The following is a 13130-nucleotide window of genomic DNA, read 5'->3' as shown; positions in this document are numbered from 1 at the left end:
CTAAGTCAAGTGTTGAAGGTGGAGCTTGGCTTTTCTTGAAGGCTTATAGTAAAATTCAAGAAGAGAGAAATGGCCTAAATGTTATTGTTAATCAAAAGGGAAGCAGATCTTAAAATTTTTGATTCTCAGCCTATCCACATTGAAAAAAAATAAGAAAGCTGTCCAGGTGTTGTGGTTCACACCTGTAATTCCAGCATTTTTGGAGGCCAAAGTGGGAGGATCATTTGAGGCCAGGAGTTCAAGATCGGCCTGGTCACCAGAGTAAGACTCTGTCTCTACAAAAAATTTTAAAATAATTTAAAAATTTAGTCAAGTGTGGCAGCACACATCTGTAGTCCCAGATATTTGGGAGGCTAAGGCAGGAGGAATAGTTGAGCCCAGGGGTTTAAGACTGCAGTGAGCTATGATTGCACCATTGCACCCTAGCCTGGGCAACAGAGCAAGACCCTACCTAGAAGAAGAAGGAGAAGGAGAAGGATTCATCCTCCTTTTAGGGAGAGAACAAGGGCATGGTCAAGTGACCATTTGATAAGGAGACTGGTATGGATTGGGAATCTAACACAAGCCAAGTGCTATTTCTCAAAACAATGACAGAATGACCAGGAAGGAATTTTGGAGATTATGGAATCTGTCTCTCTCATTACAGGCTTATGCAAGGACCTGGAGGGAAGAATGATTTCAAAGCTCTGCTCCCTGAATTTGAGCAAAATTGTCCTTGGCCACACCGGCTGTGGCTCCAGTGTGCCCAGGTGCAGCACAGGACATGGTGGTCTGCCCTCCACACAGCACAGATGATAAACCTTGGCAGGGTACATGTGGTGCCATCTCCAAAGAAGTACAAAATGCATAAACCATGGGGGTATGGCTACCCCCACATAGATTTTGAAGAATGAAGCCAGGCAGAGCCTCAGGCTCAAGACTCAAGCAGTGGGCTATCGTAAGGTTGGAGCCAACACAGAGAGTTGCCACTAGGGTTATGCCTAGCAAAACCATGGGGCCCCTCCTCCAAAATTCATATGTTGAAATACTAATTCCCAATGTTATAGTATTAGGAGGTAGAGTCTCTGGGAGGTGATTAGGCAGAACTCTCATGAATGGTATTAATGCCCTAATAAAACAGACTCCAGAGAGCCAGCTCACCCTTCTGTCATATAAGGACTCATCAGAAAGGCACCATCTATGCATCAATAAATGGGCCCTCAGCAGGTATCAAATCTACTGGCACCTAAATCTTGGACTCTCCAGTCCCTGGAACTGTGAGAAGTAAACATCTATTCTTTATAAAGTACTCAGTCTTTACTTTTTGTTATGGCAGCCTGAATGGAGTAAGATACCTCTCTTTCCAGAGAAAGCTGGATTTAGTTAAGATCTTTCCTGCAAAGATTGTGTGTGATGAGGAAGCTTTTTTCCACACAGTAGTCTGGAAGGGCCTATTGTATCCCTTTGGAGGTGAAGTCAAACTGAGGCTGAGAAATTTTTGAAATAGATACTGAACAATACATATTAGCCACTTCCATAATAGGAAAATCTTTATTGGTTGCTGATTGAATAGAATCAGAAATTTAAATGCATAGGGTGATGGGCCCCCCACCAGGTTACTTAAGGGTGTAGGTCTTCTGCTTGGCCCCTGAGGGCCAACTGGTGAGCCAAGGCAATGGTTTCCAGCTGAGGAACAGGTGTTCCTGGGAACCCAAACATCCTGGAGTGTACAGGTAACCTACCAAGAAAAAATAATCTCATTGCATGCAGTAGGCAATGACCCAAAAAATTAGCTTAAAAGCAGCTTAGAAATGTGTGGCAGGGCAGGTCTCTGGAGTTTTCCTGTTGCTGCCCAGGAATGTCCTGTATGTAAGTCCTAAAAGCCTCATGTACTCATCAAGCTGGACTTGTCCAAGTTATTATTTGGTCACTTAGCCCCTTCCCAGGGTGTGGGGACATTCTTCTAAATAGTCCTGTTTTTTTTCTCATAACAAAATAATATTGGGTATTGAATATGGGAGCCTTAACAAATGGGACCATAGCATTTTAGCTGTAGTAGTCTACCATGAGGCAATCTTCATTCTTCCCAGGTCTAAGAATTGGCAAAATTGGGCTGTTAAATGGAGAAGCAATGGGAATGATCATTCCTTTACTAATTTTCTTTTATATAAGATATTTTAATCCTTGAAAAGGTTGTTTTTAGTTATATTAAACTTTATAAACTATTTTAACCTGGGGCACATGGGGTCCTGTTTTATCAATCCAATTCGTAAATGCCAAATAATTAAATTTAATTTGTTATTCATTGTGTTGGAACATAATTTAGAACAATGGGTATTATGATTGGGAAATTTAGGAAAAGATATAAAGTGAAACATACCTATTTTTCTCTACTTTATATTTAGCTACTCTCATAAAATGATTAGGGCATCTTGTTTAAATCTAGTGGGATCCCCAGGTGTAACTCTAATTTGAGCTCCAGTATTAAAGCCATGAAGTTCTGTCAATTGCTATATTTAAGCCAATACTAACGTTAATCCAGGAACTATGTTGTAGAGGTATGAAAGCCAATCAGTGCACTTTTATCTCTGTTATATAAATTATTTTAGTAAATTTTGGATTTCCAATTGGGTTAAATTACAAAACTTTGTTTCTTCATCATCATCATCAATGCATTTTTCTAGGAGTATTAGTAGCATTTCTTCTCCTTATATAAATACTTTTTCTTTCTTTTTTTTTTTTTTTTTGTTATGGGCTTCTAGCCACCTAAAGACATGGTTTTGGGGTGGAGCCAAGATGGCCCAATAGGAACAGCTCCAGTCTACAGCTCCCAGCATGAGCAACACAGAAGATGGGTGATTTCTGCATTTCCAACTGAGGTACCAGGTTCATCTCACTGGGGAGTGTTGGAAAGTGGGCACAGGACAGTGGGTACAGCGCACCGAGCATGAGCCGAAGCCGGGTGAGGCATCGTCTCACCCGGGAAGCGCAAGGGGTCAGGGAATTCCCTTTCCTAGTCAAAGAAAGGGGTGACAGATGGCACCTGGGAAATCGGGTCACTCCCACCCTAATACTGCGCTTTTCCAACAGTCTTAGCAAACAGCACACCAGGAGATTATATCCCGTGCCTGGCTTGGAGGGTCCTATGCCCACAGAGCCTCGCTCATTGCTAGCACAGCAGTCTGAGATCAAACTGCAAGGCAGCAGTGAGGCTGGGGGAGGGACGCCTGCCATTGCTGAGGCTTGAGTAGGTAAACAAAGCGGCCAGAAAGCTTGAACTGGGTAGAGCCCACTGCAGCTCAAGGAGGCCTGCCTTCCTCTGTAGACTCCACCTCTGGGGGCAGGGCATAGCCAAACAAAACGCAGCAGAAACCTCTGCAGACTTAAATGCCCCTGTCTGACAGCTTTGAAGAGAGTAGTGGTTCTCCCAGCACGCAGCTGGAGATCTGAGAACGGACAGACTGCCTCCTCAAGTGGGTCCCTGACCCCCGAGTGGCCTAACTGGGAGGCATACCCCAGTAAGGGCAAACTGACATCTCACACAGCCGGGTACTCCTCTGAGACAAAACTTCCAGAGGAATGATCAGGCAGCAACATTTGCTGTTCATCAATATCTGCTGTTCTGCAGCCTCCGCGACTGATACCCAGGCAAACAGGGTCTGGAGTAGACCTCCAGCAAACTCCTACAGACCTGCAGCTGAGGGTCCTGACTGTTAGAAGGAAAACTAACAAACAGAAAGGACATCCACACCAAAACCCCAACTGTACATCACCATCATCAAAGACCAAAGGTAGATAAAACCACAAAGATGGGAAAAAAACAGAGCAGAAAAACTGGAAACTCTAAAAATCAGAGTGCCTCTCCTCCTCCAAAGGAACGTAGCTCCTCACCAGCAACAGAACAAAGCTGGATGGAGAATGACTTTGACGAGCTGAGAGAAGAAGGTTTCAGATGATCAAACTACTCCGAGCTAAAGGAGGAAGTTCGAACCAACGGCAAAGAAGTTAAAAACCTTGAAAAAAAATTAGACAAATGCCTAACTAGAATAACCAATGCAAAGAAGTCCTTAAGGGACCTGATGGAGGTGAAAACCACAGCATGAGAACTACGTGACGAATGCACAAGCCTCAGGAGCCGATTCGATCAACTGGAAGTAAGGGTATCAGTGATGGAAGATCAAATGAATGAAATGAAGTGAGAAGAGAAGTTTAGAGAAAAAACAAGGAAAAGAAATGAACAAAGCCTCCAAGAAATATGGGACTATTTAAAAAGACCAAATCTATGTCTGATTACTGTATCTGAAAGTGATGGGGAGAATGGAACTAAGTTGGAAAACACTCTACAGGATATTATCCAGGAGAACTTCCCCAATCTAGCAAGGCAGGCCAACATTCAGATTCAGGAAATACACAGAACGCCACAAAGATAATCCTCTAGAAGAGCAACTCCAAGACACATAATTGTCAGATTCACCAAAGTTGAAATGAAGGAAAAAATATTAAGGGCAGCCAGAGAGAAAGGTTGGGTTACCCACAAAGGGAAGCCCATCAGACTAACAGCTGATCTGTCGGCAGAAACCTTACAAGCCAGAAGACAGTGGGGGCCAATATTCAACATTCTTGAAGAAAAGAATTTTTAACCCAGAATTTCATATCCAGCTAAACTAAGCTTCATAAGTGAAGCAGGAATAAAATACTTTACAGACAAGCAAATGCTGAGAGATTTTGTCACCACCAGGCCTGCCCTAAAAGAGCTCCCGAAGGAAGCACTAAACATGGAAAGGAACAACCAGTACCAGCCATTGCAAAAACATGCCAGATTGTAAAGACCATTGAGGCTAGGAAGAAACTGCATCAACTAATGAGCAAAATAACCAGCTAACATCATAATGACAGGATCAAATTCACACATAACAATATTAACCTTAAATGTAAATGGGCTAAATGCTCCAATTAAAAGACACAGACTGGCAAATTGGATAAAGAGCCAAGACCTATCAGTGTGCTGTATTCAGGAAACCCATCTCACGTGCAGAGACACACATAGGCTCAAAATAAAGGGATGGAGGAAGATCTACCAAGCAAATGGAAAACAAAAAAAGGCAGGGGTTGCAATCCTAGTCTCAGATAAAACAGACTTTAAGCCAACAAAGATCAAAAGAGACAAAGAAGGCCATTACATAATGGTAAAGGGATCAATTCAACAAGAAGAGCTAACTATCCTAAATATATATGCACCCAATACAGGAGCACCCAGATTCATAAAGCAAGTCCTCAGAGACCTACAAAGAGACTTAGACTCCCACACAATAATAATGGGAGACTTTAACACCCCACTGTCAACATTAGACAGATCAATGAGACAGAAAGTTAACAAGGATATCCAGGAATTGAACTCAGCTCTGCACCAAGCAGACCTAATAGACATCTACAGAACTCTCCACCCCAAATCAACAGAATATACATTCTTTTCAGCACCACACCACACCTATTCCAAAATTGACCACATAGTTGGAAGTAAAGCACTCCTCAGCAAATGTAAAAGAACAGAAATTATAGCAAACTGTCTCTCAGACCACAGTGCAATCAAACTAGAACACAGGATTAAGAAACTCAATCAAAACTGCTCAACTATATGCAAACTGAACAACCTGCTCCTGAATGACTACTGGGTACATAACGAAATGAAGGCAGAAATAAAGATGTTCTTTGAAACCAATGAGAACAAAGACACAAAAACCAGAATCTCTGGGACACATTCAAAGCAGTGTGTAGAGGGAAATTGATGGCACTAAATGCCCACAAGAGAAAGCAGGAAAGATCTAAAATTGACACCCTAACATCACAATTAAAAGAACTAGAGAAGCAAGAGCAAACACATTCAAAAGCTAGCAGAAGGCAAGAAATAACTAACATCAGAGCAGAACTGAAGGAAATAGAGACACAAAAAACCCTTCAAAAAATCAATGAATCCAGGAGCTGGTTTTTTGAAAAGATCAACAAAATTGATAGACTGCTAGCAAGACTAATAAAGAAGAAAAGAGAGAAGAATCAAATAGACGCAATAAAAAATGATAAAGGGGATATCACCAACAATCCCACAGAAATACAAACTACCATCAGAGAATACTATAAACACCTCTATGCAAATAAACTAGAAAATCTAGAAGAAATGGATAAATTCCTTGACACATACACCCTCCCAAGACTAAACCAGGAAGAAGTTGAACCTCTGAATAGACCAATAACAGGCTCTGAAATTGAGGCAATAATTAATAGCTTACCAACCAAAAAAAGTCCAGGACCAGATGGATTCACAGCCTAATTCTACCAGAGGTACAAAGAGGAGCTGGTACCATTCCTTCTGAAACTATTCCAATCACCAGAAAAAGAGGGAATCCTCCCTAACTCATTTTATGAGGCCAGCATCATCCTGATACCAGAGCCTGGCAGAGACACAACAAAAAAAGAGAATTTTAGACCAATATCCCTGATGAACATTGATGCAAAAATCCTCAATAAAATACTGGCAACCCGAATCCAGCAGCACATCAAAAAGCTTATCCACCATGATCAAGTGGGCTTCATCCCTGGCATGCAAGGCTGGTTCAACATACACAAATCAATAAATGTAATCCAGCATATAAACAGAATCAACGACAAAAACAATATGATTATCTCAATAGATGCAGAAAAGGCCTTTGACAAAATTTAACAACACTTCATGCTAAAAACTCTCAATAAATTAGGTATTGATGGGACGTATCTAAAAATAATAAGAGCTATCTATGACAAACCCACAGCCAATATCATACTGAATGGGCAAAAACTGGAAGCATTCCCTTTGAAAACTGGCACAAGACAGGGATGCCCTCTCTCACCATGCCTATTCAACATAGTGTTGGAAGTTCTGGCCAGGGAAATCAGGCAGGAGAAGGAAATAAAGGGCATTCAATTAGGAAAAGAGGAAGTCAAATTGTTCCTGTTTGCAGATGACATGATTGTATATCCAGAAAACCCCATCATCTCAGGCCAGAATCTCTTAAGCTGACAGGCAACTTCAGCAAAGTCTCAGGATACAAAATCAATGTGCAAAAATCACAAGCATTCTTATACACCAATAACAGACAAACACAGAGCCAAATCATGAGTGAACTCCCATTCAGAATTGCTTCAAAGAGAATAAAATACCTAGGAATCCAACTTACAAGGGATGTGAAGGACCTCTTCAAGGAGAACTACAAACCACTGCTCAAGGAAATAAAAGAGGATACAAACAATTGGAAGAACATTCCATGCTCATGGGTAGGAAGAATCAATATCGTGAAAATGGCCATACTGCCCAAGGTAATTTACAGATTCAATGCCATCCCCATCAAGCTACCAATGACTTTCTTCACAGAATTGGAAAAAAACTACTTTAAAATTCATATGGAATCAAAAAAGAGCCCTCATTGCCAAGTCAATCCTAAGCCAAAAGAACAAAGCTGGAGGCATCACGCTACCTGACTTCAAACTATACTACAAGGCTACAGTAACCAAAACAGCATGGTACTGGTACCAAAACAGAGATATAGACCAATGGAACAGAACAGAGCCCTCAGAAATAATGCCACATATCTACTACTATCTGATATTTCACAAACCTGATGAAAACAAGAAATGGGGAAAGGATTCCCTATTTAAGAAATGGTGCTGGGAAAACTGGCTAGCCATATGTAGAAAGCTGAAACTGGATCCCTTCCTTACACCTTATACAAAAATTAATTCAAGATGGACTGAAGACTTAAATGTTAGACCTAACACCATAAAAACCCTAGAAGAAAATCTAGGCAATACCATTCAGGACATAGGCATGGGCAAGGACTTCATGTCTAAAACACCAAAAGCAATGGCAACAAAAGACAAAATTGACAAATGGGATCTAATTAAACTAAACAGCTTCTGCACAGCAAAAGAAACTACCATCAGAGTGAACAGGTAACCTACAGAATGGGAGAAAATTTTTGCAATCTACTCATCTGACAAAGGTCTAATATCCAGAATCTACAATGAACTCCAACAAATTTATAAGAAAAAAAAAACCCCATCAAAAAGTGGGCAAAGGATATGAACAGACACTTCTCAAAAGAAGACATTTATGCAGCCAAAAGACACATGAAAAAATGCTCATCATCACTGGCCATCAGAGAAATGCAAATCAAAACCACAATGAGACACCATCTCACACCAGTTAGAATGGCGATCATTAAAAGGTCAGGAAACAACAGGTGCTGGAGAGGATGTGGAGAAATAGGAACACTTTTACACTGTGGGTGGGACTGTAAACTAGTTCAACCATTGTGGAAGACAGTGTGGCGATTCCTCAGGGATCTAGAACTAGAAATACCATTTGATCCAGCCATCCCATTACTGGGTATATACTCAAAGGATTATAAAACATGCTGCTATAAAGACACATGCAGCACTATTCACAACAGCAAAGACTTGGAACCAACCCAAATGTCCAACAATGATAGACTGGATTAAGAAAATGTGGCACATACACACCATGGAATACTATGCAGCCATAAAAAATGATGAGTTCATGTCCTTTGTAGGGACGTGGATGAAGCTGGAAACCATCATTCTCAGCAAACTATTGCAAGGACCAAAAAACAACCACTGCATGTTCTCACTCACAGGTGGGAATTGAACAATGAGAACACATGGACACAGGAAGGGGAACATCACACACCCGGGCCTGTTGTGGGGTGGGGGAGGGGTGAGGGATAGCATTAGGAGATATGCCTAACATTAAATGATGAATTAATGGGTGTAGCACACCAACATGGCACACGTATACACATATGTAACAAACCTGCACATTGTGCACATGTACCCTAAAACTTAAAGTATAATAAAAAAATAAAAATACAAAAATTAAAAAATATATATATATTCTTGAGCTTTGATCTCTGTGATAAGTTACTTATAAGTAGTTTAATCCTTTCGGGTCTTGCTTTTAAGCTTTGTTGGTGGGATGATAGCAACAATTCGTCTGTCGCTAATTTTTCACCAATACTGGGTAACATCATTCTTAGTACTTTAATCGTTGCCCTGTAAATTGTGAGGTTTTGGGAGCAGGCTCCAACTCCCTGCTGTGTGAGCTCTGGGGACTATTCCTTCTCATCCCTTTGGGCGGTCTGTTCCTCAACCTCACAGCTGTGAATGCCATATTAGGCTCTGCAGGTCTCCGCAGTCCTCTCTGTGCAGCTCTCTCCGCTCTGGTACTCTGTATACAGACTCTGTATGTCTTGGCCTCCCTGGATTTCCAGTTCTGTCTCCTCTCTACTAAGGGGGTGTGCCAGGATCTGCCTGGCATTCTCCTTCCTGTGTCACAGTCTGGAAACTTTCTACAGGAAATCCATTGGGAAATTTTTAGAACTTGCCTTTTTCTTTTTAATTTTTCATTTAAAAATTTTTTAATTTTTGTGGGTACATAGTAGAGTATATGAAATATTTTGATTCAGGCATACAATGTGTAGTAATCATATCAGGGTAAATGGGTTATCCATCACCTCAAGCATTTATCCTTTCCTGTGTTACAAACAATCCAATTATAATTTAGTTACTTTAAAATGTACAATAAGTTATTGTTGCCTATACTCACCTGTTGTGGTATCATACTTGATATTATTCCTTCTATCTAACTATATTTTTGTACCATTACACATCATCCCTTAGAACTGTCTTTGTTTCCCATGACTCACGGAACACTGTATTTTGTTGCCTGATATTCAATGGCTTTGGGACCATTTCATTTCATTATTTCATTTCATTTCTTTCGTTTCTTTCATTTCATTTATTTCATTTCAGACAGGATCTCACTCTGTCACCCAGGCTGGAGTGCAGTGGCACAATCTCAGCTCACATTTCATTTCTTCATTTTGTTTCATTTCTTTCATTTCATTTCTTCATTTCATTTCATTTCATTTATTTCATTTCATTTCATATGACAGGATCTCACTCTGTCACCCAGGCTGCAGTGCAGTGGCACAATCTCAGCTCACATTTCATTTCATTTTATTTCATTTCATTATTTCATTTCATTTCATTTCATTTCATTTCATTTCATATGACAGGATCTCACTCTGTCACCCAGGCTGGAGTGCAGTGGCACAATCTCAGCTCACATTTTATTTCATCATTTCATTCATTTCATTTCATTTCATTTCATTTCTTTCGACAGGATCTCACTCTGTCACCCAGCCTGGAGTGCAGTGGCACAATCTCAGTTCAGATTTCATCATTTCATTTCATTTCATGTCATTTATTTCATTTCATATGACAGGATCTCACTCAGGATCTCACTGTGTCACCCAGGCTGGAGTGCAGTGGCACAATCTCAGCTCACATTTCATCATTTCATTTCTTCATTTCATTTCATTTCATTTATTTTATTTCATATGACAGGATCTCTCTCTGTCATCCAGGCTGGAGTGCAGTGGCACAATCTCAGCTCACATTTCATTTCATCATTTCATTCATTTCATTTCATTTCACTTATTTCATCATTTCATTTCATTTTTCATTTCAATTCATTTCTTTCGACAGGATCTCACTCTGTCACCCAGCCTGGAGTGCAGTGGGACAATCTCAGCTCACATTTCATTTCATCATTTCATTTCTTCATTTCATTTCATTTCATTTCATATGACAGGATCTCTCTCTGTCATCCAGGCTGGAGTGCAGTGGCACAATCTCAGCTCACATTTCATCATTTCATTCATTTCATTTCATTTCATTTCACTTATTTCATCATTTCATTTCATTTTTCATTTCATTTCATTTCTTTCGACAGGATCTCACTCTGTCACCCAGCCTGGAGTGCAGTGGGACAATCTCAGTTCACATTTCATTTCTTCATTTCATTCATTTCATTTCTTTCGACAGGATCTCACTCTGTCACCCAGCCTGGAGTGCAGTGGCACAATCTCAGTTCACATTTCATTTCTTCATTTCATTTATTTCATTTCATTATTTCATTTCATTTCATATGACAGGATCTCACTCAGGATCTCACTCTGTCACTCAGGCTGGAGTGCAGTGGCACAATCTCAGCTCACATTTTATTTCATTTCATCATTTCATTTATTTCATTTCATTTCATTATTTCATATGACAGGATCTCTGTCACCCAGGCTGGAGTGCAGTGGCACAATCTCAGCTCATATTTCATTTCATCATTTCATTTCATTTCATATGACAGGATCTCACTCTGTCACCCAGGCTGGAGTGCAGTGGCACAATCTCAGCTCATATTTCATTTCATCATTTCATTTCTTCATTTCATGTCATTTCATTTATTTCATTTCATTTCATTTCATATTTCATTTCATTTCACAGACAGGATCTCACTCTGTCACCTAGGCTGGAGTGCAGTGGCACAATCTCAGCTCACATTTTATTTCATCATTTCATTCATTTCATTTCGTTTTACTTATTTCATTTCTTTCGACAGGATCTCACTCTGTCACCTAGGCTGGAGTGCAGTGGCACAATCTCAGCTCACATTTTATTTCATCATTTCATTCATTTCATTTCATTTCATTTCATTTCACTTATTTCATTTCTTTCGACAGGATCTCACTCTGTCACCCAGCCTGGAGTGCAGTGGCACAATCTCAGTTCAGATTTCATTTCACCATTTCATTTCATTTCATTTATTTCATTTCATTTCATATGACAAGATCTCACTCAGGATCTCACTCTGTCACCCAGGCTGGAGTGCAGTGGCACAATCTCAAGCTCACATTTCATCATTTCATGTCATTTCATTTATTTCATTTCATATGACAGGATCTCACTGTGTCACCCAGGCTGCAGTGCAGTGGCACAATCTCAGCTCACATTTCATTTCATCATTTCATTTCTTCATTTATTTCATTTCATTTCATATGACAGGATCTCTCTCTGTCACCCAGGCTGGAGTGCAGTGGCACAATCTCAGCTCACATTTCATCATTTCATTCATTTCATTTCACTTATTTCACCATTTCATTTCATTTTTCATTTCATTTCATTTCTTTTGACAGGATCTCACTCTGTCACCCAGCCTGGAGTGCAGTGGGACAATCTCAGTTCACATTTCATTTCATCATTTCATTTCTTCATTTCATTTCATTTCTTTCAACAGGATCTCACTCTGTCACCCAGCCTGGAGTGCAGTGGCACAATCTCAGTTCACATTTCATTTCTTCATTTCATTTCATCATTTCATATGACAGGATCTCACTCAGGATCTCACTCTGTCACCCAGGCTGGAGTGCAGTGGCACAATCTCAGCTCACATTTTATTTCATTTCATCATTTCATTTATTTCATTTATTTCATTTCATTTCATTTCATTTCATTTCATTATTTCGTATGACAGGATCTCTCTCTGTCACCCAGGCTGGAGTGCAGTGGCACAATCTCAGCTCATATTTCATTTCATCATTTCTTCATTTCATTTCATTTCATATGACAGGATCTCACTCTGTCACCCAGGCTGGAGTGCAGTGGCACAATCTCAGCTCACATTTCATTTCATCATTTCATTTCATTATTTCATTTCACTTCATTTCATTTCATTTCATTTTTTATGACAGGATCTCACTCTGTCACCCAGGCTGGAGTGCAGTGGCACAATCTCAGCTCACTGCAACCTCCACCTCCCAAGTAGCTGGGACTTCAGGTGTGCACCACCACATCTGGCTAATTGTTTTTCTATTTTTCATAGAGATAGGGTTTCGTCATGTTGCCCAGGCTGGTTTTGAACTCCTGAGTTCAAGCAATCTGCCCACCTCAGCTTCTCAAAGTGCTGGGATAACAGGCGTGAGCCACCATGCCGGACCTGTTTAATGTATTTTATATGGTGTTTTAGTTATTCCTAGGATAGGAAGGCCCCTGTTACTCCAATCTGGCTGGTAGTTCTCATTCATTTTTTAAAACTTGTGAGTTTGGTTCATTTGTTTAAAAAATGGTGTCGATTGTGTGTTCTTTCTTCCTCACCCCTGCTATTTCCTCTGTATTTGCAGTTTTAGTATCACGCACGTTACACAAAATGCCAAACGTGATTCAGTGGATGATTTAAGGGAGAAGGACAAAAAAACACTTACTTAGTACTT

The sequence above is a fragment of the Homo sapiens genome, chromosome 15, assembly GCF_000001405.40.
Source record: "Homo sapiens chromosome 15, GRCh38.p14 Primary Assembly".
NCBI lineage: Eukaryota > Metazoa > Chordata > Mammalia > Primates > Hominidae > Homo > Homo sapiens.
This window is presented reverse-complemented; position numbering follows the sequence as displayed.